The sequence below is a fragment of the Homo sapiens genome, chromosome 20 (genome assembly GCF_000001405.40).
Source record: "Homo sapiens chromosome 20, GRCh38.p14 Primary Assembly".
Classification (NCBI taxonomy): Eukaryota; Metazoa; Chordata; class Mammalia; order Primates; family Hominidae; genus Homo; species Homo sapiens.
Window position 1 is genome coordinate 17941600 of NC_000020.11, and position 13977 is coordinate 17955576.

Genomic DNA, 13977 nt, shown 5'->3' on the forward strand with positions numbered 1-13977 from the left:
TTAGTAGCACGATTATTTTATTATATGCTTTATAAAAAAACAAACACCCAAAGACATACAACACACCGCCCTCACCCCCCAGCGGCCATTAGGGAGGGGGCTTATACTTTTCCTAATGTAGATCTGGCCATCTTATAAAGCAGACCACATTATTTGTTTCCATATATACCTGTAGATATTTCTCTCCCCTCAAATATTTATATCTCGACTAAAAAAAGGAGGTGCAAAGAGTATATAAAGATAAATGAGATTTTCTTGCTGTTGTTATAGTACAAACACCAGATGACTACCAGTGGAGTAACAGGGCAAAACAAAAACACAAACCCCACCTTCAGTGAGGAATGGAAGGTCTGTTACCGACCTCAAGTAGCTGAATCACCTGCTGTAACTGGCACCTCCCTGACAATCATGGGTTTGTAGGGACATGGGCCAGGTGATGGCTTCTACTTGTTTCCAGAAGGCTAATGTGTCCTACACCCTTTCTTAGTAACTAAAGACGAACTACGGGAGAACCCAGTATTTGGATTCTGCCCAGAGGTATTAAATGCACAAGGAAAAATTAGTTATGTCCAAGTAGCAAGCAATAATATTTTTAAACCAACATGGTTAAATGTTAAGATTTGTAGAAATCAAAATATTTATTCACATAATTTTAAACTAAAGTTGAAGCTAATATATCTTCCGTGGTAATGATTTAAGTGCAAGTGATGCTTGGCTTTCTTTCACATTCATTTCTTTTCTTCTGAGTGAAGGCATATCAGTTATTCTTGAACAAGTCAATACAGCTCTGCAAAAGGGAGACATTGTTCTGTGGGGAAAAAAGGCAAGGCAGACCAGTGAATTATTAAAACTTGCCATATACCTGGAATGACTCAAGTACACCAACACGGCTTTTCACGGGAGGTTTAAAGTCAGCCAGAGCAAGCTGGCCCTTCTCTTCATCAAATCCCAGGTGAACTGCAACGTACCACGCATCCCCATTTCATGTTTCAGCTCCTCTCCCTCAGTGGGTAAGGCTACCAGCCAAAGAGCCGACGTTCACTCCAGCACCTCTGCCCTCACCTGCTTGCTCCTAAATGTGATCCTGCTTACTGTAACTTCTTAAGACACTATCAGTGCGTTGTTCCATGAAGGCAAGGGCCTTGGAAAGATTGAATAAAAGTTGCTAGAAATTAGGGCTGGGAGCTTTAGCTCACACCTGTAATCCCAGCACTTTGGGAGGCCAAGGCAGGTGGATCACCTGAGGTCAGGGGTTCAAGTCCAGCCTGGCCAAAATGGTGAAACCCCATCTCTATTAAAAAAAAAAAAAAAAAGTTGCTAAAAATTAGTCATGGGTGACATTATAAACAAGACTACAAATAAACAATGAGTGGCTCCCATCAACTAAGTACTACAGACGATTAATACCACAAGGCCACCCCAACTGCCTGATGACAATGGGTTAGTAAACTGGGAAATAACTTGGAAAAAACCATAAAAGATGTTGGCTTCATCTGTAGAAAACACTTACCCTGGCATGTTTTATTTCCAGTTCAGACATTTCAATTAGATTCTTTCTAAATGCTGCCACTCTCTTCCGTTTGAAATTTATCAGTTCTACAGGAAGAAAAAATGTTTATGAAACCAAGAAAAACTAAACAATTTTCATGTTCACTTTAACTACCAAATGGCATTCTTACAAATGGTCTCCAATGCTTTCAGGCACCAGCATTATTTCCTCACATTTGTATTATCTCTGTGACTGGGACACATCAGACATCTATTAACTGTGGTGATACAGCTATCACTGTCTTTAAGTGGAAAACATCACTGAATCACCAAGCATCGTGAGTGGGAGAGCAGCAGCTTATGACTTGGAGAACACGTTGATGAGCAGCCTCACTCTCACCCTCTAGGTACCAGTGACTGGGAACAGGGCTGGAGTATGGGTGGTGGTGAGCCACATACTTCACCAATGGCTTGTGAAAATGCTTCTCAAAAGAAGACATACCAGGTTCATGCAAACAACGTTCAGCAGCACTAGCCATTAGGGAAATGCAAATTAAAACCACAATGAGATTACCTCACACCTGCTAGAATGCATTTTCTCAAATAGATGAAAGATCAGTGTTAGCAACAATGCAGAGAAAAGTGAACTCTTCTACACCGTTGCTGGGAATGTAAATTAGTACAGCCACCATGGAAAATGGTATAGAGGTTCCTCAAAAAACTAAAAATAGAATTACCATATGATCCAGCAAACCCACTTCTGGGAATATAAAAGGAACTGAAATCAGTATCTCAATGGGATATCCGTACTTCCATGTTCACTGCAGCATTATTTACAATAGCCAAAATACAAAATCAATTGAGAATTATCCATCAGTGGATGAAGACAATGTAGTATAGATACATTATACTATCCGGCCTTTTAAAATAACAAAATTCTCTCATATGGGACAATGTGGATGGATCTTAGAGGACATTATGCCAAATAAAATAAACCAGGCACAGAAAGACAAACATTACATGATCTCACTTACAGGTAAAATCTTAAGTTGAACTCCTAGAAGTAGAGAACAGAATGATGGTTATCAGAGGATGAGGGTGGGGTGCTGGGGAAGGTGGGAAAGAGAATGGGTAGAAGGCTGCAGCTAAACTCAAGGAATAAATTTTGAGATCTACTGCACAACAGGGTGACTACAGTCAATAATATATATTGAAACAGCAAATTTCAAATGTATTACCACTGAAAAAAATGAAAGATGTTAATTAGCTTGATCTAATAATTTCACATTATGTACCTGCAAAGCATCACACTGTATTCCACAAATGCAATACAATGACTTGTCGATTAAAAATAAAACTTAAAACATTTTTAAATCCAAAACAGTGAAAAACTGCTACACGTATTCAAGACAGGTTTACTTGATGATCTTTAGGGCATGCTTCCTTTTCATCTACTCCTTTTTCTTTTTTTTTCTTGAGACGGAATCTTGCTCTGTTGCCCAGGCTGGAGTGCAGTGGCGGGATCTCGGCTCACTGCAAGCTCTGACTCCTGGGTTCACGCCATTCTCCTGCCTCAGCCTCCCGAGTAGCTGGGACTACAGGCGCCCGCCACCACACCCGGCTAATTTTTTGTATTTTTAGTAGAGACGGGGTTTCCCTGTGTTAGCCAGGATGGTCTCGATCTCCTGACCTCGTGATCCGCCCGCCTCAGCCTCCCAAAGTGCTGGGATTACAGGCGTGAGCCACTGCACCCAGCCCTTTTTCATTTCATCTACTCCTATTGCCATCAGAATTCGGCATTAATGACCCATTGGAAATTGGAACAAACCAAGAATATGCATGTCCGCCCTAATTCCTTCATTGAATTTGTGACATCAAGTTCTGTCTTGCAGTTTTACTTGACTAAAACTTTGACCATCACCCAACCTTCTGCTGGTGCTCAAGTGTTCAGAGCAGACTCACCCTCCTTCCTGTCTCTACAGTGCTGTGCAAAAGAACTACAATACAAGCAGCCACATCCAAGTTAAAAAGTCACAAATTTCATAGTGATATGTCAAGTCTATAGTGCTTGCACTACAAGGTGATGTTTATCAGTCCCTTGGATATCCTGGGTGAAGATAAGCTCCCTGCCTTCCTCTAGACCTACACACAGTACCAGGGCTCCATACACTTAACTATTCACCTCCTGTGAAACCAGCCCTTACCCACTGACTCAACTCTAGTCGTCAGCTCAGCTGCAAGTCTCAGAAAGCACTTATACCAAAGGCAAACAGGTTAAGACCCACCAATCTCAGCATTCCACAGAATACTGTATTTTTAGATAGTGTACCTATCTGGCATTTTGAATATAGGATATAATCAATGTGGGCGAAAACTTTAGGCAGTAAAGGTAGACCTGAATTGGCATCATTTTTTAAAGTTTTATGTTTTTTCTTCAATCTCCTCTAAAATTTCCAGAGCCATGAAACTGGCCTATAAGATTTCAACTCAGTAGTTTTGAAGTGTGTACGTTTCCTTGAAAATTTTAGTTTTAAAAAAAAAAAAAAAGCTGTAATTGTTTCAGAAACAGGGTAGCATGAAGGTTACTTTGGAAGAACCCAACACAGCCTCAGAGCCTGTCTACATGACATTTGCCAGGAAGCTCTGTGCCTTTGTGCCTTACAGTTAAGGCATTGTATTATAATCCTGAATAGACAGACAAATGATTAGAAATCTATAAAGTCTAGGTTTCCCCCAGGTAGCTTCAAACATGTTGATGAACACATCATTTCCCTATGTCTAGATTACCCTACCACTGGGAAACAAGAAAGTTAGGAAAAAACTAAGTAAGATATGAATTTTTCATGGAAACACGCGTTAGGGGGTTGGGATTGAGTCCAACAGTGCCCCACTACAACTACTCACATTCTGGGTAATCCATTCCAACATTTGCTCTGACATGTTCCATGGCCCCTGAGAACCCCAGAGAAGATCCACAGAATCCTCTTAGGTAAGGACTACATATTATACTCATGTTCAATAGAAATGGTGAAAGTCCTCTGCTCTAAGAGGTGAAATGGATAAGGCAAGAAAGAACCCTATGGATGTGGACATGGACCGGACTTGTGATCCCTGAAACCTGCATGTGTGTGCAACGGCATATGTGTGCACACACACATACATTTCCTAGCTCAGTCCACTGAAGGGCACAGAAGCAGAGATACCCCGAAACGATGAGCATACTCAGATGCTGGTAACTGTTCCCAAAGAAAAAGAACCCTGGCTCCTTGAAAAAATGGCCAGTTTCAAGGCTGGAGCAGAGAGTAAGATTAGCATGGCCTATCACTCTAAAAAAGACGGGTTAGGCTGTTACAACCACATGCCAGCTTAAAGGTGCTCCTATTGGCAAAGTCTGGACAGGCATCAAAAATAACTTGGTAATACAATAATGAATTCTAAACCATTTTAAAAACTGGGAGTCCATGACTCTAATAAAGATAAAGGAAATTTCTGAGAAAAGGGAAGGCTTTTTTGTAGTAGGATGACAAGTGCCAACTTGGGTAGGAAAGCTAGAGCTAGAGATGAGGGAAATCGTCTTTCTGCAATCGTCAGAGTAACAGCTGGTTTAGGCAAGAATCATTAATACATGCTAAACCTAGGGAGGAAGTTTGATGAAGACCAAGGTATTTGCATGGTCTTAAATTGCCTCACCACAGATTGATGGGGGTTAAAATAGTAACTACACAGTGGAGAAACTGGATTTGGATACTATCTAATTGAGTAATCAAAATTACCACCACGAATGAAGGAGAGACACACTGTCCAATCAGAAGTGACACCCCAATAAGGGCATATTACTTCTATTCTGCCAGGAGCCCATAACCAGATCTAAACATGAGGAAACCTACCAAAAGTCAGAAATACAGGATTTGTAAAGAGATTCTCTAAAAAGACTGATACTGTTAAAAACTAAGAACTATTCCAGAGTAAAGGAGACTAATAGCTAAGACAACCAGATGCAATCCTAGACTGGATCTTGTAGAGGACATCAAGACAAACATGAAAATACAGAGAGCAGATTGTAGACCCAAAGTTAAGTTTATCACAGCAAACAACCATACTGTAACCATACAAGAGAATGTCTTCAGTCTTAGGAAATAAACCACAACGTTTTTAGGGCTAAAAGAAGCATGACATATGCAACTTAATCTCCAATGGTACAGAAAAACCAGGTGTGTAACGTTTGTAAGCACGCAAAGCCATGAGGATGACTGTGCATGTGCAAGTGATAAGGCAGAGGGGTGAAGTGCTGACACTGGGTGAAGGATACATGGGTGTTTTTTGCACTATTTGTAGAACTTTTCTAAGTTTGAAATTATTTTCAAATTACAGTACAGAAAGAAGAATGTCCTGCTCAACCTTCTTTTGCAGATTCGGAAAGTTGTTCAAATTTCTGGCAGCACTCCTGCTGGTGTGCCTCAGCCAACTTGACGTCTTTGCTCTTTAACCGGGCCTTATCCAGAGCTTTGTTTGAGTTCTCATAGTCAATGAGGGCTTTGGTGCGTCTGTATAAGAGATCCTGGGAAAAAAATTAACAGGTATACATACTAAGTATCTAAACCAGTCTAAAAAATAGCCCAAGTGCCAATGTACCACCTGAGATGTTAGTGGCAATAATCTACCTCTACACCTTCCCTCTCCCAGAGTATTTTTAAATCTCCAGCTTCGCAGGGATGAGCAATGCTGATAGCTTTGTTGAGAGCTTTTTTTAGAATTCCTTATATGAATCAAGTGATTACTCAAGAGTGAAAACAGAAGGACTTTTGTTTTCCAGTAATTCAGTAAATAAAGTTAACTTTAAAAATTAAATATTGTGTATCAGAGATAACTTGAAATATACAGTCACTGCTGGGTAAGTCAAGTTGAGCGCTGCTAAAATACAACTGGGCAATGAAGTAGTAAGAAACATAACCCTACCCTGCAAATCCTGCTTCTGGTAATCTACCTTGGAGATCCACTTAGTCAGATATAAAGATTCTTTGCAATCTTACAACAGAGTAGAAGTTACTTTAGTATCTGAAATGAGCAATTATGATGTATAGATTACACATTTAAAACTAGGTGAAATAATAACTGATGGGTGAAACTACTAGGCCTATTTTTGTATATACTCAAATAATCGTAAGTGAGCTCTTAATTCCATGAAAGTAGAAAATAGGCTATTAAAAAAGTATGTTTTTAAAAACTCCCAAGATTCAGAAAACATGCCAAAGGGCAAATTAACTAAAATAAAATTGCATGATGGGGGGAAAAATTTTTTTTACTCTTTTACTTTCTGATGACATTTCAGCCTTAGAGGGCATACAATCCTATCTAATTTTATTTTGCCTGATTTAATACATTTCACATAAAATTAAAACATATTTGTTCAGGGCAATGCAGACAAAGCATGTTTCATTCCCAAAGGTTATTCTGCTTACCATTTTGTCCACATATACATATAACGCTTCACGGCTCAAAGGCTGCAGGGATACTTGCAATTCAATAAAAACTCCCAAATCTTCTTTGCCCCAGAAACAGCCCTTTCTGCATGTTATGTCCCACATCAATGACCTATAATCCCCCAAACTATTACCTGTCTACTTCACACAACCCATACAGTGCTGTCAGATACACAAGCTTTATGGATACAATGCCAGAAAGGCATGTCATTTATAAAAACAAGTCTGATAAATTCTTATTCTGCTCCTTTGTATAAAGAAACTTTTTAAACAGACTTCTGGTCCTGCACTGCTCTGAGAAGCTGAGCAACTCTCTTCCTACCTTAGCAGCTTCAATGTTGAGCATGTAGTATCGGAGGAGCTCTGTTAGCTTCAAATCTTCATCTGATGAAACTCGACCCTCTACTTTCTATATAGAAAAGGAAAGGTCACCATCAAGGCAGAAAGCTATAGATTATAAAATATATATTATGAAGACCAACACAGAAATCCTTACCCTTAGTTTTTCAAATAGCTCAGCAACCTTCAATAGGTACCTGGAAATGTACATATAATTTTGGTTTAAGGTCTTAAATCATCTATAAAACATGATCTTACCAGTGTGCAAGACAGGAATGGGTCAACTCAGGAGTCCTAGCCTTTGGTACTTTAGCATTAATTTAAAAGTAGTGCTCTCACTTCAACTGACCCCAAATAGTAGAGAAAATGGTCACAAAATTACACACATGTACAGCACCACACTCAGCCTCTTGGTGACCCTTCGGTCATCCTGCCATGCGCCCAAATATTCTTATTAAATGCCAATGCTGTGTAAACCAAGGTTGGTTTCTAATGAGCTATGCTATGGGCATCACAAAGCAGTAAATATGCTATTTAATTCGTCATGGTTCTGCCATTAGCCTTTCAATTTCGAGTCAGAAGTAGTATCACCTGTTTTGCCAAGCCTGGATGTTAAGTAAAATATTGTCTTACACCAGAAATGCCCAGGATGGAGAAACTGAAACACATACATAAGTGCAGAGTGAAAATGGAAGGGTTTTTAATTAATGAATGAAGGTAATTTCAGAAAATTGTACATCAAAACAGCTGTGTGTTAGACTGGGGTCATTAAATTATTCTCATGACCACTATAACCAAATCTCTTCAAGGTCCAGGGCAGGGGCACATGTTCTCAGGATCTCCTGAGGCTGCATCACAGGCCAAAAAAAAAGAAGGTCTAGGGCATTACCAGGCAAAATTGCAAGCACCAATTGCCAGGGGAAGATGCAAGATAAACTCTTACAAACTCCAAAACTAAAGAAAACAGGCTTTTAAGTGTGACAGAAACTACTGCTTTGACAACATTTACTGTATTTGTTTACATATAGAAGAGCCCAAGTCCCCTACAATTGTCTTACAAGTGTCTTATGTCCAGAGAACATGTAAGATGAGTGCTAGAGACTTGTCTTACTGAGCTTGTAACTCCAGAGCAGGACCATGTAGTCACTACTCATTTATGCTTTTAATTACACCACTCGGCACTCTTCAATTGGGTTAGGGGAAATGCTTTTCCAAAAAAACTTACTTTTTGATGACTGTGGGCTCTTCTAAAGCCAGGCTATGTAAGCAGGCTGCGGTGTGGATATAGTCATCGGCAACATCTGCAGAAACAAGGACAAGTCTTTTTATCCAAACACAGCCAGGCTCATCAGCAAAGCTCTGACTAGCGGTAAATGATATTTACTTTTATGAGATCTGGTCATTTTGTCAGCTTTCACACAAGAATCTTTGATCCTATTGTAATAGTTAATAAGGAAGTTCTTCTCTTGCTCAAAGAAGTCATCTACCTCCTAGAAGGAAGAAAAAAAGAACCAGACATTTCATGAAATATACTATCCCTGCAGCCTTTTACATTTATCAATATAAAAATATATTGCTTAGAACATGGCATATAAACGTGAGTAAAGTTTAACCTCTACAGATCAGGGAATTACAAATTTACGATACTATTTCTTAACCAAGGCTGGGAAAAATCAAGGGCTGGCAGAAAATGTCTACAGAAGAATCACTTAACAACCACCAGTAAAACTGGCACCCTAAGACACAGCAATTTTACGCTAGTACAATGGTTCTACCAGGTGGAACATGGCCACTTAGCCTTGGATACCTATCTGTGTGTGAATGAGGTTTTTTTTTCTCGATTGGTTTCAGACTGGGAGGAAATCCTGGTATCTGGTAGGCATTGGCCAAGGATGCCAATGCCAAATATCCCATAATGCATGGATACAGGACAGTCCCATACACCTTAAACTGGACCAAGTCCGAGTTTCCTAATTTCTGATGATGCCCTCTCTACTTAGCACCTGTATTCTGGGCTCCCTGGAGTGGCAAAGCCAGATACCAGACAGTAATTGTAAGGGTAACTCAGTTACAAAGGAATGAGAAGGCCCGAGAAGTAGTAAAGTAAATCATACCTCTAACGGTAACGGAAACGTTATTTTGTATTCTTGTCTTTGTGCTAACGCCTTGAAATCCAGTATGTAAATAAAATCTAAAGTTTGGTTCCTTAGTTGTGCCAGCTAGGTTGCATGTCAAGTGCTTCTCTATCACCTGTAGTTGGTGACCAAACTGGACAGTGTAGTTCTGAGAGTGGGATAAAATACTGATCTTGTACTTTATTTTAGAAATTAACTGAGTAATCTCCCTCCTTACAGAAAAGGAGAAAATGAAGCCAAGTGTGGAAAGGTTCAAGTTGCTTCTCCTGGGACAGAACAAGGTGCTCTGGGAAATAAGTGAAAATTGAATAAGTAGATGAAAATTACCAAAATCTGAAGAACACTTACATGTCTTAAAAGTTAACCATTTGTTTCACAAGTATCTCTTTCAAAGAAACAAAAGGTCACCTATTCCCGATGAAGTAAAAAATTTTCTCCAACAGCCAAAGGTCACTTACCTTAACTCCAGTAAAAAGGACTTCATCAGCACTTTTCACCACACTTTTGAAGAAGCCACCAAACATCTCTTTAGTATTTTTCCGCCTAACACTTAGCTAAAAGAAGAAAATTCCAAAGAGTTTATATGGTATGGATTTTTCTAGATTCTCTTAAAGAAGTTCTGAGTAACATTTTAAGTAATCCTCTTTATCAGTACAGGCAAATGCATAAAGTATCTTTAATTCTGCCTTAACCTCCAAGCTTAAAACACCTAATGGCTAAACCCAAACATAGGTAGGTCATCTCATTCTAAAAGGCTTGACAGATTTTGAAAGACTGACTAGAAGCTAAGTCTTAGTGGCTCTGAAATCCTTGGGAAAATTACTGTTCTCTTCTATCCATATTAAGTAGCAAAAACCAAAACATGTTAAAAAGAAAAATAGCATAAAAGTCATAATTCGCGGCCGGGCGCAGTGGCTCACGCCTGTAATCCCAGCACTTTGGGAGGCCAAGGCGGGCGGATCACGAGGTCAGGAGATCGAGACCATCTTGGCTAACGCGGTGAAACCCCATCTCTACTAAAAATACAAAAAATAAGCCGGGTGTGGTGGTGGGCACCTGTAATCCTAGCTACTCGGGAGGCTGAGGCAGGAGAATGGCGTGAACCCAGAAGGTGGAGCTTGCAGTAAGCCGAGATCGCGCCACTGCACTCCAGCCTGGATGACAGAGCGAGATTCTGCCTCAAAAAAGAAAAGAAAAAAGTCATAATTCAACAAAAAGCGTAGGTGGGAAGAAAATAAATTACACAAATTTTAATTTCCTTAAAATGAACTTAGTTAAGTTTGGAATTGTTAAGAAATTAACTAAGGGATGTTTGGGACTGTTAATTTCTTAAAAAGAAACCTAGGTTTTGGAAGGGGAAAGAAGTCAAAATTTTCTTTAAGCAGAGTTTTACAAAAAATGACTTACAATGAAGGAAAAGCAGCATCTAAAAAGGTTTCCATTGTGTAAGAAATTCAAAACTTTAAAGCAGTAGAAACTATCAAGTACATTTTGAAAGTATAAACATTTGAAGTGGATTATCAAAATGGAATAAAAATGCCTTACATCCTGATCATATTCCAGGAAAACATGAAAGTTGCGATCTTTACTGAGAACAGGGTGAGAAGAAAGCCGCTGAAGAAAGACTTCATGGGAGGACACAGTCTTCTTAAACACAGCGAGATACTCACTGAAAAGAGATGTGCACATGGCATTCAGTTGACACAGCTCAACTACCTGACCAATACCACTCCTGATTAATTCTATGGCCCTGCTCATGCCACCACATAAAACACTGCAACTGGACCAAACAGTATTTCAGTATAAACTGGTGTCTAGTTAGATACTAAGGCAGTTGCCATTTTTGAATCTGTGGAATAAGACTATGGAGGAAAGCAATGTTGTAACTGGATTTGATGGGTCAAGTCCATGAGCTCCTAAATCTACATGCAATTACTGTTACTTAGTAGCCACAGAACATTTGTTTCTTTAAAGCAATGAGAACCCTTTAACTGCAGCCTAAGTATACAGCATGAGTCTAATGAAGCTAAAAGTTAACAAAAATTACAAAGCAGCTTTATCTCAACCTAGACATTAAAAGTCACCTTAAAATTCCTAACGGTAGAAACTTGGATCTGTTGTGTTCAGTGCCTCATTCCCCAGAGCTGGTCCCGAGAGCCACTCAAGTGTGTGCTAAATGCTTTCAGGGCCTGGAGGTTTGAGTGCTGCCCTAGATGACACAGGGGTTTGGAGAGGGGGAGCTGATGGTTGAAGAGGGGAGGAATGAGTACTTTTCAGCTAAGATGAGGAAATGCAAGGATGGATTCATAAGAAACTTTCCAAAAATCTATTTTTGTTTGAAAAAATTAAATGACAACCAGATTAAAATATACTTGCTGCCTGTAGACCTGGACTTCCTCTTTCAAATTATCTATGTGATGGTTACTGAGAATGCTACTCTATAACAGCACTATTTGGCCTGGCCCAGGGGCAGCTCACTATAATCTCAGCACTATGGGAGGCAAAAGCAAGCTGATCACTTGAACTCAGGAGTTCGAGACCAGCCGGGGCAACACATGACGAAACCCCCAACTCTCTAGTTTCTTCTCAACGTCTAGTAACCAAGCTTCCGAAAGAAAAGCTTTGTACATTATGAGCAATTTATAAAGGCACAAAAGTTTATTTCCTCACTGTGCCAGACCAGCATCCTTAATAAGTATGCCCTACATATGGGAAAAGACAACTACTCTATCGGGTATTAGTGTCAATGGCCTCCAATGAATCAATGTGTGAAGTACAAAGACCATGTCCCACACTATGCAAGATGTATTACTAGTTTTAGAAAACGACGCTAGGGACCTAATTAAACAGCTGCACTTAAAACAAAATTAAGTCAGGTTCTTCTACTTATTTTTGTACACAGCACCACTTTTCTACTTCTCAAAAGACAGAGCCCACCAGGAAAATCCACTTACGCTTCCAGTTCTTGTTTCATCTTGGCAAATTCTTCTTTGGTCATAGACCCTTCACCTTCTCCCAGTTTCTGCATCTTCTCTCGAGGACCATCAAAGTCGGGCTTCGTAGGAGCAGGTGGAATCTGCAGCAGAGGCAGGAACTCATGAGCCTCTTGTCCCAGCAGCGATGTTTTCTAGTTGGTGCCTCATTCTACTCTTGCTGGTCCACAGGAGACAACCACTCCACTCCTGTGGGGCTATTTAAAAGTCAACTCCTGTTTTTTCTTAACCTTCCTTAACTCTTCTGGACATTTAAAATGAGGTGTCTTCCTGAGAGTTGCATATTCACTTTGATGGCAATCATTTGTTCAGTTTATCCATTATAGACAATTGTTCAGAGCACAACAGTGTCTATACTGCTTCAGTGTTCGCCTAAAACTAGTACAACGAATGCTAAGCACCAAAGATGAGCCATCAAGATTATAAAGTGTTCAGTATTCCAAAGGAATTTTTTCCTAATCCCAAAGGATAATCAAGGACTCTAATTTTGAATGAAAGACATATCTAAATATAAGCTTCGGTATTAATTTTGTTTAATGATTAAGCAATCATCATTTGGAGAGCTTCTTCAGTCTGCCTGGCAGGACAAAACGCGTGGAAATCTCCTTTAAAATCAGTTAAGTCTGTTCCTGCCGCCAAGAAATAACAATCAAGGGCTGAAAACTGCCTCCTTGAGCACTTTTTTTGTTTTTGGGAGAAAGAGTCTCGCTCTGTCACCCAGGCTGGAGTGACGTGGCACGGCCTCGGCTTACTGCAACCTCTGCCTCTCAAGTTCAAGCGATTCTCATGCCTCAGCCTCCCCAGTGGCTGGGACTACAGGTACGCACCACCACGCCCAGCAAATTTTTTGTATTTTTAGTAGAGACAGGGTCTCATCATGTTGCCCAGGCACGTCTTAAAATTCTGAGCTCAGGTGATCCACCCACCTTGGCCTCCCAAAGTGCTAGGATTAAAGGCATGGCCTCCTTCAGCAACTTTTGAGAAATCTTATCACAAACTATTACCAATAGCAGTGTTTCCTAGAAATCAATTCTACTGACATAGGAAAAAACATACCAGAGAAAAACCAAACCTAAAGGTAGGTAAGACTAAAGTCATTACACTGTTCACACCCCTTTACAATGTAAATAATGTAAGCCTGTATGCACCACCTCAAAGCTGTAACACTATTCCTTCACATACTTTCCACTTGACAGTCAGCAAATACTCCAGTAGGTAGATGAAATCTAACTTTTCACAATCCATTAAAAAAAGTGGATATAAGTCTCTTTTAAACTAATGCATAGCAAGGCAGAAAGAACTAGCTTATTTGATTTTCTAAAAGACTCACAATAAGCCCAGCATAGTCTGTTGTTTCAATAAGAGTGTCATGTAGCCACACAAAGTCTTCATGTTGCCTTGTAACAGAAAACTCTGGGCTCTGAAACGTGGGCAGTGTGGTCTGTAAAGAAAGAAAGAAGTTAACTGGTAACCACGACTTTTAGATAAGTGATCTGGGTTTCCTAGGCTACACAGTGGGAAAATTCTGCATAATACATCATA

At 39.8% G+C, this 13977-nt stretch overlaps 1 protein-coding gene across 3 annotated transcripts in view; it reads right to left on the minus strand.

Moving 5' to 3' along the window:
* Positions 1–13977, minus strand: part of SNX5 (sorting nexin 5) — a 27195-nt gene continuing 13218 nt past the window's right edge. For all 3 annotated transcript variants that reach the window (NM_001282454.2, NM_152227.3, NM_014426.4), the window contains 11 exons: positions 13766–13876; positions 12397–12518; positions 10988–11111; positions 9901–9996; positions 8692–8797; positions 8533–8608; positions 7465–7504; positions 7291–7377; positions 5887–6046; positions 1511–1596; positions 1–808 (listed from right to left, as the gene is read on the minus strand). In NM_001282454.2, the coding sequence (NP_001269383.1) occupies positions 758–808; positions 1511–1596; positions 5887–6046; positions 7291–7377; positions 7465–7504; positions 8533–8608; positions 8692–8797; positions 9901–9996; positions 10988–11111; positions 12397–12470 (900 nt within the window). In that variant the 5' untranslated portion in view covers positions 12471–12518; positions 13766–13876 and the 3' untranslated portion in view covers positions 1–757. The remainder of the gene's footprint in view (positions 809–1510; positions 1597–5886; positions 6047–7290; positions 7378–7464; positions 7505–8532; positions 8609–8691; positions 8798–9900; positions 9997–10987; positions 11112–12396; positions 12519–13765; positions 13877–13977) is intronic.